This window comes from Homo sapiens, chromosome 15 (genome assembly GCF_000001405.40).
Source record: "Homo sapiens chromosome 15, GRCh38.p14 Primary Assembly".
Taxonomy (NCBI): Eukaryota; Metazoa; Chordata; class Mammalia; order Primates; family Hominidae; genus Homo; species Homo sapiens.
The window spans coordinates 64,926,578-64,941,458 of NC_000015.10; the positions used below are offsets into that span (position 1 = coordinate 64,926,578).

At 47.2% G+C, this 14,881-nt stretch overlaps 1 protein-coding gene across 1 annotated transcript in view, besides 3 other annotated features; it reads left to right on the plus strand.

Moving 5' to 3' along the window:
- ANKDD1A (ankyrin repeat and death domain containing 1A) overlaps positions 1-14,881 on the plus strand; it is a 46,790-nt gene that overhangs the window by 14,676 nt on the left and 17,233 nt on the right. The window contains exons 6-9 of the mRNA NM_182703.6: positions 324-422; positions 4,245-4,343; positions 4,910-5,008; positions 7,559-7,657. Coding sequence (NP_874362.3) covers positions 324-422; positions 4,245-4,343; positions 4,910-5,008; positions 7,559-7,657 — 396 coding nt within the window. The remainder of the gene's footprint in view (positions 1-323; positions 423-4,244; positions 4,344-4,909; positions 5,009-7,558; positions 7,658-14,881) is intronic.
- Positions 4,194-4,488: a silencer, noted in NCBI's record as "tiled region #9291; HepG2 Repressive non-DNase unmatched - State 20:ReprD". NCBI's record gives its function as "represses a minimal TATA promoter and a strong SV40 promoter by Sharpr-MPRA in HepG2 cells {active_cell/tissue: HepG2}" and the evidence as "EXISTENCE:reporter gene assay evidence [ECO:0000049][PMID:27701403]".
- Positions 4,237-4,336: an enhancer, noted in NCBI's record as "active region_9588". NCBI's record gives its function as "activates an Ori minimal core promoter by ATAC-STARR-seq in GM12878 lymphoblastoid cells {active_cell/tissue: GM12878}" and the evidence as "EXISTENCE:reporter gene assay evidence [ECO:0000049][PMID:35858748]".
- Positions 4,576-5,453: an enhancer, noted in NCBI's record as "H3K27ac-H3K4me1 hESC enhancer chr15:65223351-65224228 (GRCh37/hg19 assembly coordinates)". NCBI's record gives its function as "activates a minimal SCP1, AML or CMV promoter by ChIP-STARR-seq in naive H9 embryonic stem cells {active_cell/tissue: H9 hESC(naive)}" and the evidence as "EXISTENCE:reporter gene assay evidence [ECO:0000049][PMID:30033119]".

Sequence of the window (14,881 nt, forward strand, 5' to 3'; positions counted from 1 at the left end):
CTTAGGAGGGAAGGTCTGATGGGTGGTTGGGGGTCCCTCTGGCGATCTCAACCCCCATCCTCAAGAATCTGTTTATTCATTAGGCAGCAAGGAGCCACCTCAGGACTTCAGCCAGGGAGGGACCCCAGCAAGTGTCTCTTGTTGGGAAGTTGGGTCTGGGCTTTCCAGGCAGGGTGTGGGGAGGCAAGGGGAGAGGACAGTGTCTGGGGCAGGAGAGGCCACTACAAAGCCAGAGTGGTTGGGGAACAGAGGCCAGGTGGGCAGAGGCAGGTATGCCCACTGACAGAGTGAGGAAGGCTCACACCGCTTCTCCTCCCGGCCAGCTGGGGAGGACGGCGTTTCACAGGGCAGCTGAGCACGGGCAGCTGGATGCTCTGGACTTCCTCGTGGGCTCTGGCTGTGACCACAATGTCAAAGACAAGGTACCGTGTCCGTGAGGCTCTGGGATCCTGACCAGGGTGCAAAACTTGCCACCTTCCAGGCTCTGGCTCCTCACCTGTGTCCACGTCTGACTCCGATTGCGCTGGAGGCCCGTGTGGCCCAAAGATGAGAGTGTATTTAGTGTTCATCCAGCAGGCCCTTCACCAGCGTGTGCTATGGGCCAGCCCTGTGCTACAGGTTGGTGGCATAAAGATGCCCAAGACACCGTTTCTTACTCGAGGAACTCAGTGCCACAGGCATAGTAAGGATTTCTGATCCGACGTGGCTGGCCAGGGTGGCAGATCTGGGTGGTTGGTAGTGCTGCCTGGAGTGGGTTGAGCAGGGCTGTGATCTACTGGGGTTGTCTGTTGTTGACAGATGTGGGGAAGTGTTAGGGGGTGGTAGCCACACATCTGCTCTGCTATGGTTATGGCAGGAATAGGTTGGGAGCATGGAGAAGGTAGCATATCATTCAGGGCTTGTGAGCAGGATTTCACCAATCTGAGAAGGGGTAAGGGACGGGGACCAGAGGGTCTACCCTGCAAATGACTCTTATCATTGGACCCTTGTGAATCATTAGGCAAAATATGTTACAGCAAATTCCCTTTTTTTTTTTTTTTTTTTTGAGACGGAGTCTCGCTCTGTCGTCCAGGCTGGAGTGCAGTGGCGCTGTCTTGGCTCACTGCAAGCTCCGCCTCCCGGGTTCACACCATTCTCCTGCCTCAGCCTCCCGAATAGCTGGGACTGTAGGCGCCCGCCACCACACCCAGCTAATTTTTTTTGTATTTTTAGTAGAGATGGGGTTTCACGTGTTAGCCAGGATGATCTTGATCTCCTGACCTCGTGATCCACCCGCCTCAGCCTCCCAAAGTGCTGGGATTACACGCGTAAGCCATCGCGCCCGGCCTGTTACAGCAAATTCTAAATGATGCCTCCAACAAAGAGATTAACTCCATTATTAATCTTCTGGTTAATGTGCTTGGCCAGGATAGAGGGAGTTCTGTGTAAAATGAAGTGATAGAGAGCTCACACACAAATGCACTGCAGGGTCTTGGAACTGGAAGGCATCTGAATTCAGCCTTCTCATTTTACAGCTGTGGAAACTGATGCCCAGAGAGGGACATGCCTTAGCCAGGGCCACACAGTGAGACACAGGTAGAGCTGGATTTGGAAGCAGCATCCTAATGCATAAAGCTGTCTTTCTCCCCTTACCAGGCTGCCTCCTGGGTTGGACCCCCTTGGGTTCTGCACTGAGTCCATCCACACTCATCCTTTTGGGCTGAGCAGGTCCTACCCTGTGCAAGGCACTGGGCCAGGAACTAGGCATGCAAAGAGCGGGGAGGGCAGTGCCTGCCAGGACTGGCAAACCCAAGAGGCAAAATGATCACACCTCAGGGCCCCAGGAGAGCATGAGCACCAAGAACAGTGAAAGATAAAATACAGCTTTGATGAACTTCTCCAGAATCTTGCAATCAGAAATTCTGCAAAGAAGCTTTTAAAATTGCATACCCCTGTTAAGTTTTGTGTTTTCACAATGGGAGTGTTTTCATTTTCAGTTTCATCTGGGAGTGGGGCACGGTAAGTTTTTCAATGCCTGATAAGGGGGATAGACCTCTTAGAGTCAATGACAACACAGGTCACTCCACGTGTACTCTAGAATGCTAGGGAGGCTTTGAGAGTCCAGAGAGAGCTATTAACTCCACTTGGAAGGGCAAAGTTGCTGTCAAGGCCTCACAGAAGTGGAGATGCTGGACATCCCCAAGGTGGAGGGGAGAGGGCCCCGGGCCCACGCCAAGGCTGCCTTCTGCCCAGCTGTCCTGCCTCTGAGCCCCCTGCCCTGCCCAGGAAAGTGCGAGCGCCTGTCAGGCATCCATGTGTGCCACTTGCAGCTTCAAATGGCAGGACATGGATATTTATAACCCAGAAGGAAGAAGAAAGCCCTGCCACGGTCTCTACACCCTGCTAACTGGGGGCATGTGTTGGCCCTTCATGGTTCACCTGCTTCCTGCGTGTCTCTGAACACAGAGATTTCACGCTGTGATTGCATTTCCCACCGCTTGTCCTGGCTCGCAGCAGCCAGCCTGCAGGCTATAGGCTGCAGAGAAGCTGGCAAGGAGAGAAAAACAAAGCTGTTGAGGGCTTTTTAAAATTATTTTAAAATTTTATTATTTTTAGCTGAATTCAATTTTTTTTTGAGACAAGATCTTACTCTGTTGCCCAGGCTGGAGTGTAGTGGCGTAATCACAGCTCATTGCAGCCTCAACTTCCCATGCTCAAGCAATCCTCCTGCCTCAGTCTTTCCAGTATCTGGAACTACAGGCACGCACCACCACATCTGGCTAATTTTTGTATCTTTTGTAGAGACGGAGTCTTACTATATTGCCCAGGCTGGAATTCCTGGGCTCAAGCTATCTGCCCACCTCAGCCTCCCAAAGTGCTGGGATTACAGGTGTGAGGTACCATGCCCAGCAGGGAGATCCCTTTAAAGGACAACCCCACGCAGGCTGACCTCAGCAGGGGCCACTTCTGATACAAAGTACGTTGCGCCCTCTGCCCTGCCCCATGCAGCTGCTTCTCTTGGCTATGTCACTGTCACCTTTAGACTTTCCAAGTGCAAAGCAACTACCAGTCCTCTGGCCCTCAAGTCCCAGGGACACATGTCAAGCTCTCCACATGATCACCTGAAGACCCTCCTACATTATTGACTCATTGAACAAATATCTACTGAGTGTTGGCCATGTACCCCCGGCCCTATTCTAGGCACTTAAGGAAACTTCAGAGAACAAAATAGATGCCCCTGTGGTGCTTATGTTCCAGCAAGAAGGGTCAGACACATGGAACCAACCCAAATGCCCATCAATGATAGACTGGATAAAGAAAATGTGGCACATACACACCATGGAATACTATGCAGCCATAAAAAGGAATGAGATCATGTCCTTTGCAGGGACATGGATGAAGCCAGGAACCATCATCCTCAGCAAACTAACACAGGAACAGAAAACCAAACACTGCATGGTCTCCCTCATAAGTGGGAGCTGAACAATGAGAACCACATGGACACAGGGAGGGGGACAACACACACCAGGGCCTGTTGAAGGGGGGCAAAGTTAGGGAGAGCATCAGGGCAAATAGCTAATGCATGCAGTGCTTAATACCTAGGTGACGGGTTGATGGGTGCAGCAAACCACCAATGCACACGTTTACCGATGTAACAAACCTGCACATTCTGCACACGTATCCCAGAACTTAAAGTAAAATTAAAAAAAAAAAAAAAGTCAGACAATAAATACTAAGCACTCAGCCAGTGACAGAGTGTGTTAGCAGGTGATCTGTGCAGTGGGGAAAGGAAAAGCAGGACCCAAAAATAGTCTCAGGAGGACAGAGGTGGGGGTTGTAGTTTCAGTGTGGCCCGGGCAGGCCATGCTACTCAATGAGAAACTAACGTCTCACACAAAGACTTGAGGGAGGCAGGTGACTGAGCCAAGCAGCTGCCTGGAACAGCCTGAGCGCAGGGGAGAGTTGCTGGGGCCTTGAGCCGTGAGAGGAGATGGATCTGGGGGACATGAGGAGGGACCGGCTTCAGATGGGCACGTGGAAAGTAGAATTGGATTTGTTTAATTTTTAAGCAATGTGCCTGCCTTGAAGTATAAGGAAAGAAAGACCAGGGCTTGGCCCTTGAATCTGCCCCTGGTTATAGTTTTTGGCCCAGTTGTCAGGAGCAGGGTGGCACTGACCCAGTGTGCATGGCTGCAGCTCATCACAGGTCTGTGATTCTGGGACTCTCTGGTCTGCTGGCCTCTCAGGAGCCCTTTTTCCTGCAGGAGGGGAACACTGCCCTTCATCTGGCTGCTGGTCGGGGCCATATGGCTGTGCTGCAGCGACTTGTGGACATCGGGCTGGACCTGGAGGAGCAGAATGCGGTGAGTCACCGCCTGGGGATGGCGAGATGCATGACCCTTGCTTGCTCTCTGCCTTCGAGGAACCCCCACCAGTCCATGGTGAAGTCTAAAGCCAGAAGGCTGAGGGCATGATCTCGAACTGAGAGCCCACCAGGGAAAGACAAGCAGCAGCACTGAACTCCAGGCTTAATGGTAGTACTTGGCATGATGCCTCACCCCAGAAGTGAGACAGAAAGTGTGTGTTCAAAGAAGGGAGACGTCACCGTGGACAGGATGGTGAGGGAGGGCTTGCTGGAGGAGAAGGAAATAGAGGGGAGGGGCTGAGACAGCCTGACCGGGGCAGAACATGAGCAGAGATGTGGAGCCAGGAGTGACTATGCCATGTGTGTGCTCCATAAAGTGAGGACTTCAGGGGTGGGGCTCATGGAATCACAAACAAGAAAGTTCATTGTTCCCAGGGGCAGGGCAGTGGAGAGCTCAAGGGGTCCTGGGGCCAAGGCACAAGGGGCATCCTCTCACCGTGGGATTGGGGGTCACTTGGGGGTGGGCCTCCCCACCATCCTCATTGCTCTTCTTGTGTGTTGCAGGAAGGTCTGACTGCCCTGCATTCGGCTGCTGGAGGATCCCACCCTGACTGTGTGCAGCTCCTCCTCAGGGCTGGGAGCACCGTGAATGCCCTCACCCAGGTAGCCAGGCCCTCCCAAGACTGCGGTCGGCTCTTGGCTGCTGAGCCATAGCCATGTCGGCAGTAACGGCCACAGGGATTCCTGAACCCTGAGTGAATAGAGGCTTCGAGGCAGCAGACAAGGTTCTGATCTTGGCTTCTCCACTGCTGAGCCCTGTGACCTGGAGCAAGTTACTTAACCTCTCTGAGCCTTGTTTCCCAACTATAAAGTGCAGTGACATTTACTTTTTTACATTGTTGTGAGGATTAAATACCTAACACAGTGCCCAGGACATAATAGGGCCCAACACCTCAATACCTGTTAGTGTTTTTTTGTTTTAATTTTTTTGAGATGGGTCTTACTCTGTCGCCCAGGCTGAAGTGCAATGGTGCGATCTTGGCTCACTGTAACCTCCGCCTCCTGGGTTCAAGCAGTTTTCCTGACTCAGCCTCCCAAGAGGCTGGGACTACAGGTGTGTGCCACTACCCCCGGCTCATTTTTGTATTTTTTGGGTAGAGACAGGGTTTCACCATGTTGGCCAGGCTGGTCTTGAACTCCTGACCTCAAGTGATCCACCTGCCTCAGCCTTCCAAAGTGTTGGGATTATAGGCGGGATAGCCATTGCACCTGGCCCTGTTAGTGTCTTCTATTTGTTGAGCTCTTGATCGTTCACAAAGCCCCTTCATAACTGTTACCCCAGAAAAATTCCACCCATTTTGCAGATGAGAAAACTGGAGCTTTGAGGGCACTTTCTCAGGGTCACAAGCTAGTACGAGGCAAAGCTGAGTCTCAAAAGCCTTTTCCCCTGACTCCAGAGCTCCCACCCACTGATGAAGCTTTTCCCCTGACAGAGCTGGGGCTTGAGGTGTGACCCTGGATGAACCTCTTCTCTCTCTCCCCGTTGTACTCATCAGTTCTGCCAGTAAAAATTCTCCTCTATGACCTGGAAAGCGGGGTTGTGGCCTTTCTTTAGGTAGTGAGTTGGTGTTTTGGGTTTGCTTTTTATTTTTGAATCAGTGACAAATAACCTTTCTGGCTGGTTGAATGGCTTCAGGTTCTGGAATTCTTGCTTTGTTCTAAATGTCAATAGTATAGCAAAAATATTAATAATAAATAATACAATATAAATAATAATAGCAAAAACACACAGGCAGTTCAAAAACAGAGAATTAAAATGTTATGCTAAAAAATATTTATTTCCCCACTGCTTAATTTGACTGGCTTTGAAAAGAAAAGTAGGCTGGGCAAGGTGGCTCATGCCTGTAACACAGCACTTTGGGAGGCCAAAGCTGGAATATTGCTTGAGCCCAGGAGTTTGAGGCTGCAGTGAGCTATGATTGCACCACTGTACTCCAGCCTGGGTGACAGATTGAGACCCTGTCTCAAGAAAAAAAAAAAAAGACTGGGAAGGTTGCACCCAGCTGGGTGGCCATTGGGTGGGGGGCTGGAGCTGCTCATCACGCCAGGCCTTTTGCTCCAACCTCAGCTTGTGGTTTCTGGCAGAGGCCACGTTCCATTTCAACACTCCCACCCCTCTCAGAATGTCATGCCACAGGGTCTCGGAGGAGGTGCCAAGCCCACGGTGACTGCATTTCCCACTGGGAGATGGACTGAGTCCCACACACCCCAGGTACTCGCTCAGCTGGGACTTTAGCAGGGTGGCTAGCTAGTCCTGGTTTGCCCCATACTGTCCTGATTTTAAAATGGAAAGTCCCACATCTCAAGAACTCCTCAATCCTGGGCAAACTGAGACAGTGGTGGGTCACCCTAGTGGGGCCTGCCTGGTGTGTGCCTTGTGCAAGGTGATCACTGGGCCAGGTTGGGCACTGACTGAAAGAGAGCCCTTTGAGGCCCACCAAGATCAAGCCTCCATTCTAGCCCAGCCAGGATCCTGTTTGGAGGCACCAAGACCAGCTTGTGCTGGGCAGTGCATGCTGGGTGGAGTTTGCTCTGTATTGGCAAATCTTATTTGTCTTCCTCTTTAAAAACCACCTCCTGGCCAGGTGCGGTGGCTCACGCCTGTAATCCCAGCACTTTGGGAGGCTGAGACGGGTGGATCACAAGATCAGGAGTTCAAGACCAGCCTGGCCAACATGGTGAAACCCCGTCTCTACTAAAAATACAAAAATTAGCTGGGCGTAGTGGCAGGCACCTGTAATCCCAGCTACTCGGGAGGCTGAGGCAGGAGAATTACTTCAACCTGGGAGGTGGAGGTTGCAGTGAGCCGAGATTGTGCCATGTACTCCAGCTTGGGTGACAGAGTGAGACTCTGTCTCGGGAAAAAAAAAAGTCTATCATCTGCATGTCTTTACCAGCCATAGAATTGGGCAGGCTTTGGTCTGAATTCTTGAGTTTGTGATAGGAGGTGAGGAAAAGACTGAGACCATAATGAGTTCCTTTTACTGGTCATGAGACCTGGGAAAGTCATTGATTTTTCCAGCCTCAGTTAAATGGGGATAATACTCCCAGGGGTGTTGTGACACTCAAATGGAAAAATGAATCTCGAAGAGCTTTGCAAACCTCAGTAGGAGGGGTCCTTGTGATAACGCATTGATGCCTGTTTCCTTCTAGAAAAACCTAAGCTGCCTTCACTATGCAGCCCTCAGTGGCTCGGAGGATGTGTCTCGGGTCCTCATCCACGCAGGAGGCTGCGCCAACGTGGTTGATCATGTAAGTATGGTGCGAGTGTTGAAGGGGGTCTCCATTGCAAAGCCTTCCATGAGCACACTGATGAAGCACAGGGAGAAACAGGCACATCGGATCCTTGGGGTTGGGGTGCGGACCAGGAGTAGGGGAGCCGGCAGCACTTAGGAGAGTGAAATACTGTTGTAGCTGTAATAGGATTAGAAACCCAGCTTGCTTGCAATTCCTCTGAACTGAATTATTAGCTCCTGTTCTCTGCTCGTTTATGCATTGGGGCTTTTTTTTTTCTTTTCTTTTTTTTTTTTTTTTTGAGACAGAGTCTTGCTCTGTTGCCCAGGCTGGAGTGCAGTGTTGCAATCTCGGCTCACTGCAGCCTCTGCCTCCCAGGTTCAAGCAATTCTCCTGCCTCAGCCTCCTGAATAGCTGGAACTAGAGGCACACACCACCATGCCCAGCTAATTTTTTTTTTTTTTTTTTGTATTTTTGGTAGAAAAATACTGGGGTTTCACCATGTTGGCCAGGCTGGTCTTGAACCCCTGACTCAAGTGATTCGCCAGCCTCAGGCTCCCAAAGTGCTGGGATTACAGGCATGAGTCACTGTGCCAAGCCTAGGCATTGGGTTTTACTATTAATCTTTTATGTTGCCTATCTGTCCACTTAATTGTTAATCTTTTTACTGTTATACATTTGGTCCACACACAGGAACTGTATAATCTTTTGGTTAAAACACAGACTTTGGGAGTGCAGTGGTTCACACCTGTAATCTCAGCACTATGGGAGGCCGAGGCTGGAGTATTGCTTGATCTCAGGACTTCAAGACCAGCCTGGGTAACCCAGGGAGATCCATCTCTACAGAATTTTTTTTGAAAAACTGGCTGGTCATGGTGGTGTACACATGTAGTCCTAGCTACTTGGGAGGCTGAGGCTAAAGGACTGCTTGAGCCCAGGAAGTTGAGGCCACAGTGAGCCATGATCACACCACTGCACTCCAGCCTGGGCAAGAGTGAGACTCTGTCTCAAAAAAAAAAAAAAAAAAAATTGGGTTGGGCATGGTGGCGTGAGCCTGTAATCCCAGCACTTTGGGAGGCCAAGGTGAGCAGATTGCTTGAGGCTAGGAGTTCGAGACCAGCCTGGGCAACATGGCAAAACCCCATCTCTACAAAAATATAGAAAATTAGCCAGGTGTGGCCGGGTACAGTGGCTCACACCTGGAATCCCAGCACTTTGGGAGGCCGAGGCGGGCGGATCACGAGGTCAGGAGATCGAGACCATCCTGGATAACATGGTGAAACCCCATCTCTACTAAAAATACAAAAAATTAGCCGGGCTTTGTGTCAGGCGCCTGTAGTCCCAGCTACTCAGGAGGCTGAGGCAGGAGAATGGCATGAACCCGGGAGGCAGAGCTTGCAGTGAGCCGAGATCGCACCACTGCACTCCAGCCTGGGCGACAGAGCAAGACTCCGCCTCAAAAAAAAAAGAAAAGAAAATTACTCAGGCATGGTGGTGTATCCCTGTAATCCCAGCTACTTGGGAGGCTGAAGCACGAGAATCACTTGAACCCAGGAGGCAGAAGTTGCAGTGAGCCAAGATCGCTCCACTGCACTCCAGCCTGGGCAACAGAGTGAGACTGTCTCAAAAAGAAAAAAAAAAGTAGTGGGAGTTTCAAATGGTGACTATCTTTCTAGAAGGCAAGTTGACAATAACTATCAAGCTGAATTAAATAATTAAAATTTAAAAACAAGAGGCTTTGGTGTTAGGCCTGGCTTTGTATGCTGGTACTACAAACTGAATAATCCTGGGCAAGCTGCTTTGACCTATTTGGGCCTGTTTCCTTACCTATAAGTACTATTATTATTATTCCCATTACATAAACAGGGAAACATCTATGGTTTAAATCAGAAAGGGGTCATTTCTTACAGCTAAAACAAGTACTATATTTAAACTTATTATAAAAACAACATTACACAATTCATTGGAATATAGAGAAGAAAGGCATCCTTGATTCCAAAGCCCTAGAAAAGCAAGGACTTTTTTTTAATGCCCTCCCATTTTCCCCCATGTAAATAGTATCACCTCCAGCTAGAAAGAATTCAGGCTAAATGCTTACTTGTTTCTGCCCATCAAGACACCAGAATCCTGATGCCAGCCCAGTGGTCAAACTAAGAAGTTTTCCTGTTACCTTCATTTAGTATGTTGTTTTCCTTTTCATTTTAGCTGTTTTTGCTGCCTATTTATTTATTTATTTAATTGTGTCACTTTTATTTGTTGTATTTGCTTTGTTTTTAATACCAAAAGTAACTTGCTGGTAGTAACAGTGTCAAAAGACACATTCATAAAAAGTGAAGGCGTTGCCAGGTGCAGTGGCTCACATCTGTAATCCCAACACTTTGGAAGGCTGAGGTGGGAGGATCGCTTGAGTCCAGGAGTTCGAGACCAGCCTGGGCAGCATAGTGAGACCCCCGTATCTACAAAAAATTTAAAAATCAGCCGGGTATGGTGGTGGGTACCTGCCTGTAGTCCCAGATCCTCTGGGGGCTGAAGTTGAAGGATCACTTGAGCGGAGGAGGTTGAGGCTGCAGTGAGCTGTGATCACACCACTGCACTCCAGCCTGGGTAACAGAGTGAGACCTTATCTCTAAAAAAAATTTTTTAAAAATTCCCACAAATCATTACAAAGTTAAAAAACAAACAACACAAGAGAAAAATGGCCAAAGGTTATGAAGAGACATTTGGTAGAAAAGGAAACACAGAGGATTCTTAAGAGAAATGCAAATTAATACTACATGGAGATATAATTCTTCACTCATTAGGTTGGCAAAAATCCAAAAGTTTTGCCAAGTGGATTGACAAAGCTGTAGGGAAATAGGCACCTTCATATGTTACTGGAAGGAGTAGAAGTTGGTACAATCTGTTCAGAGGGTAATTTACCAATCTGTAGGGAAATAGACACCTTCATATGTTACTGGAAGGAGTAGAAGTTGGTACGATCTGTTCAGAGGGTAATTTACCAATATGTATAAAACTTACAAATACATGTGCCCTTTGACTCAACAAATCTAGGAATTTATTTGACAGATATACTTCCACATGTATGGAATGATAATATGTACAAGGTTTTTGCTGCAGTATCATTTGTAATAGCAAAATATTGAAACCCATGCTTAACTAGGAGACAATGTAATAAACTGTGGCCCATCCATGCAATGGAATACTATGTAACTATAAAAAAGAATGAGGACGGCCGGGCGCAGTGGCTCACACCTGTAATCCCAGCACTTTGGGAGGCTGAGGCAGGTGGATCATGAGGTCAGGAGTTCGAGACCAGCCTGGCCAACATAGTGAAACCCCGTCTCTACTAAAAGTACAAAAAATTAGCCAGGTGTGGTGGCACACGCCTGTAGTCCCAGCTATTCAGGAGGCTGAGGCAGAAGAATCGCTTGAACTCAGGAAGCAGAGGTTGCAGTGAGCTGAGATTGTGCCACTGTACTCCAGCCTGGATGACAGTGAGACTCTGTCTCAAAAAAATAAATAAATAAAAATAAAAATAAATAAGAATGAGGACAGTTTTCAAAAAATGTACTTATATGGAAAGACCTTAAAGATACAGTTATGTGAACAAAGCAGGTGCAAATTCTCTACTACAAGGAACCAAGATTCTTTGGGAAAATGGCTCAGTCTAGGACTAGGGCAGGAAATACTAATACATAGGGTGAGTCTGGAGCATCTTGTAGTGCCAGAAAGTAAAGGAGCACTCCATTAAAAAACGATGATTAGGTTGTGTCAAAAGGACACAGGGGCCACCAGAGAGAGCTCCCAATGGTCAACTCTGAAACTACTTAAGCAATAAAATAAAGTAGTATTGGATTGTAATCCAAAGTATAAAAAAACTGTGCGTCCATACTGATATAAATAAATGATTGAATAAGTAAATGGAGGAGAATAAACAAATATCCCATGCGGAAGAATTTCAAATAATTTATGTAGATATCATGCTCTCAAGGAGGTGAAGCAGAACCTCCCAACACCTTAAGTACAGGCTGTGCATAGTGACTTCCTGCCAGAAAGTGCAGTACGGGAAGAGGAAAAGAGTAACCTTACTCTGGGGAAATCTGACAAACACTACCTCAGCCAGGTGGTCAAGGCCAACATCAACAGTGATGAGTCATGTTGGCAGTATTTACCCTTGATAATGGTGTGATGAAAATGATACTTTATCTCTGTAATCCTCCCCCAAACTCCTAACCCCAGTCTAATTCCGAGAACAACAGCAGACAAATCCTGGTTAGGAGACATTCTACGAAATACTTGACAAGTAATTCTCAAAATGTCAAGGTCATGAAAAACAATGAAAGTCTGAGAAACCAGCACAGCCAAGAGGAGCATAGGGAGACATGACAACTAAATATAATGTGGTATCCTGGATGGGATCCTGCAACAGAAAGGATATTCGGTAGAAACTAAGGGCCAGACGCAGTGGCTCATGCCTGTAATCCCAGCACTTTGGGAGGCTGAGGTGAGTGGATCACTTGAGGTCAGAAGTTCAAGACCAGCCTGGCCAACATGGTGAAACCCCATCTTAACTCAAAAATTAGCCGGGTGTGGTGGTGGGCGCCTGTAATCCCAGCTATTTGGGAGGCTGAGGTAGGAGAATCACTTCAACTCAGGAGGCGGAGGTCGCAGTGAGCCGAGATCGCGCCACTGCACGCCAGCCTGGGCAACAGAGAGAGACTCCATCTCAAAAAAAAAAAAAAGAAACTGAAGACTCTGAATAGAGTATGGATGTTAAGTTCTAATAATCAATTGACATTGTCTCATTAATTATGACAAAAACATCATACTAATTAAGATGTTAGCAGTAGAGGAAACTGGATGTGGGGTATGTGGGAACTCTGTTATCTTTGCAACTTTCACGTAAAACTAAATATATTCTAAAATAAAAGTTTAGGCTAGGCATGGTAGCTTGCACCTGTAATCCCAGCACTTTGGGAGGCTGAAGTAGAAGGATTGCTTGGCCCCAGGAGGTCAAGGCTGCAGTGAGCCATGATCTTGCCACTGCACTCCATCCTGGGTGACAGAGCAAGATCCTGTCTCAAAACAAAAAAGACAGAAAAAGTTTATTAAAAACTGCAGAATAGGCCAGAAATGGTGGCTCACACTTGTAATTCCGGCACTTTGAGAAGTCGAGATGCGCTTGAGGTTAGGAGTTCAAGACCAGCCTGGGCAACAAAGCGAGACTGTCTCTACAAAAAAACTTTAAGATTAGCTGAGCTGGAGGCACGTGCCTGTAGTCCCTGTTCCTCCAGAGGCTGAGGCAGGAAGATCATATGAGCCCAAGGGTTTGAAGCTGCAGTCAACTATGATCACACACTGCGCTCCAACCTGCATGACAGATCAAGACCTTGGCTCTAAAAAATAAAAAGCAAAAAAAATATAAAGCTGCAGAACAGTGTAATATGCTTCACAAAGAAGGGTGGGAAGACCATGAAAATACGCCCAGCTGATTTTTATTGAAGATGCAAAAGCAATTCAGTGGAAGAAGGTTTGATAGCCTTTTCAACAAATGGGACTGAAGCAACTGTACATCCACAGGCAAAAAAATGAGCCTCAACTAAAACCTCACACCTTATACAAAATTAACTCAAAATGGATCACAGACTTAAGTGTAAAACTATAAAGCTTTTAGAAAAAATATAAGGAGGAAAATTTTTGGATCTAGGGTTAGGCCAAAGAGTTCTTAGACTTGACACCAGAAACATGATCCATTGAAGCAAAAATTTGATTAATTGGACCTCATCAAAATCAAAAAATTTTGCTCTGCAAAGGATCTGTTAAGAGGATGAAAAAACAAGCTATGGACCAAGAGAAAAGATTTGCAAATCACATATCTTATAAAGGCTAGTGTCTAGAGTATATAAAGGGCTCTCAAAACTCAACAGTAAAAAAAAAAAAATGGGCAAAAGACATGAATAGACATTTCACTGAAGAGGATATACAGATGGCAAATAAGCACATGAAAACATGTTTAACATCATTAGCTATTAGGGAAGTGTAAGTTAACACCACCATGATATACTACTTTTCAGAATGGTTAAAATTCACAAATTGTGACAAAAATGTTTAACAGATGGGAGAGAGAGCTTTAGGTAAGAGGATCCTCTCCACCATCCATGGTGGGGATAGGATGATTGATAGATAGATAGATAGATAGATAGATAGATAGATAGATATATAGATATTTTTTTTGAGACAGAGTCTTGCTCTGTCGCCCAGGCTGGAGTGCAGTGGCGTGATCTTGGCTCACTGCAAGCTCCGCCTTCCAGGTTCACGCCATTCTCCTGCCTCAGCCTCCCGAGTAGCTGGGACTACAGGCACCCGCCACCAAGCCCGGCTAATTTTTTGTATTTTTTTTTTTAGTAGAGATGGGGTTTCACCGTGTTAGCCAGGATGGTCTCGATCTCCTGACCTCGTGATCCGCCCACCTCGGCCTCCCAAAGTGCTGGGATTACAGGCATGAGCCACTGCACCTGGCCTAGACAGACAGATTTTTTAGAGACAAGGTCTCACTCTGTTGCCCAGGTTGGAGTGCAGTGGTAGGATCATGGCTCACTGCAGCCTCGTCCTCTTGGGTTCAAGCAATCCTCCTGCCTCAGCCTCCCAGGTAGCTGAAACTACAGGTGTGCACCACTATGCTCAGCTAATTTTGTTTTAAATTTTTTGTAGAGACAGGGTCCCACTATGTTGTCCAGGCTGATCTCGAACTCCTGGGCTCAAGTGGTCCTCCCACCTTAGCCTCCCAAAGTACTGGGATTACAGGTGTGAGCTACCACACCTGGCCTTGCCATTTCTTTATGTCTTCTTTTATATCCCTCAGTGATGTTATATAGCTTTGGTTTACTTTTGTCTTATTCATTTCTAATTATATCCTTCATAGTTAGTTTATATTTTTTGGCTGTCATTGTGACTAGAATATCTTTTTTAAAATTATGTGTCATTTCTTGTAAGCATTCAATACAAGAATGCTACTGAATAGTATTTTTGTCTTCTGTATGACTTTATTCTACTAGGATTTTTGCGGGGGAGCGGTGTCCTAGTCCATTTTGTGTTGCTATAACTGAATACCATAGACTGGGTGACTTATAAAGAATGGAGATTTATTTAGCTCATTGTTCTGGAGGCTGGGAAGTCCTAGAGCATGGTACCAGCATCTTGTAAGGGCCTTCCTGCTGTGTTGTGACATGATGGGAGGCATCA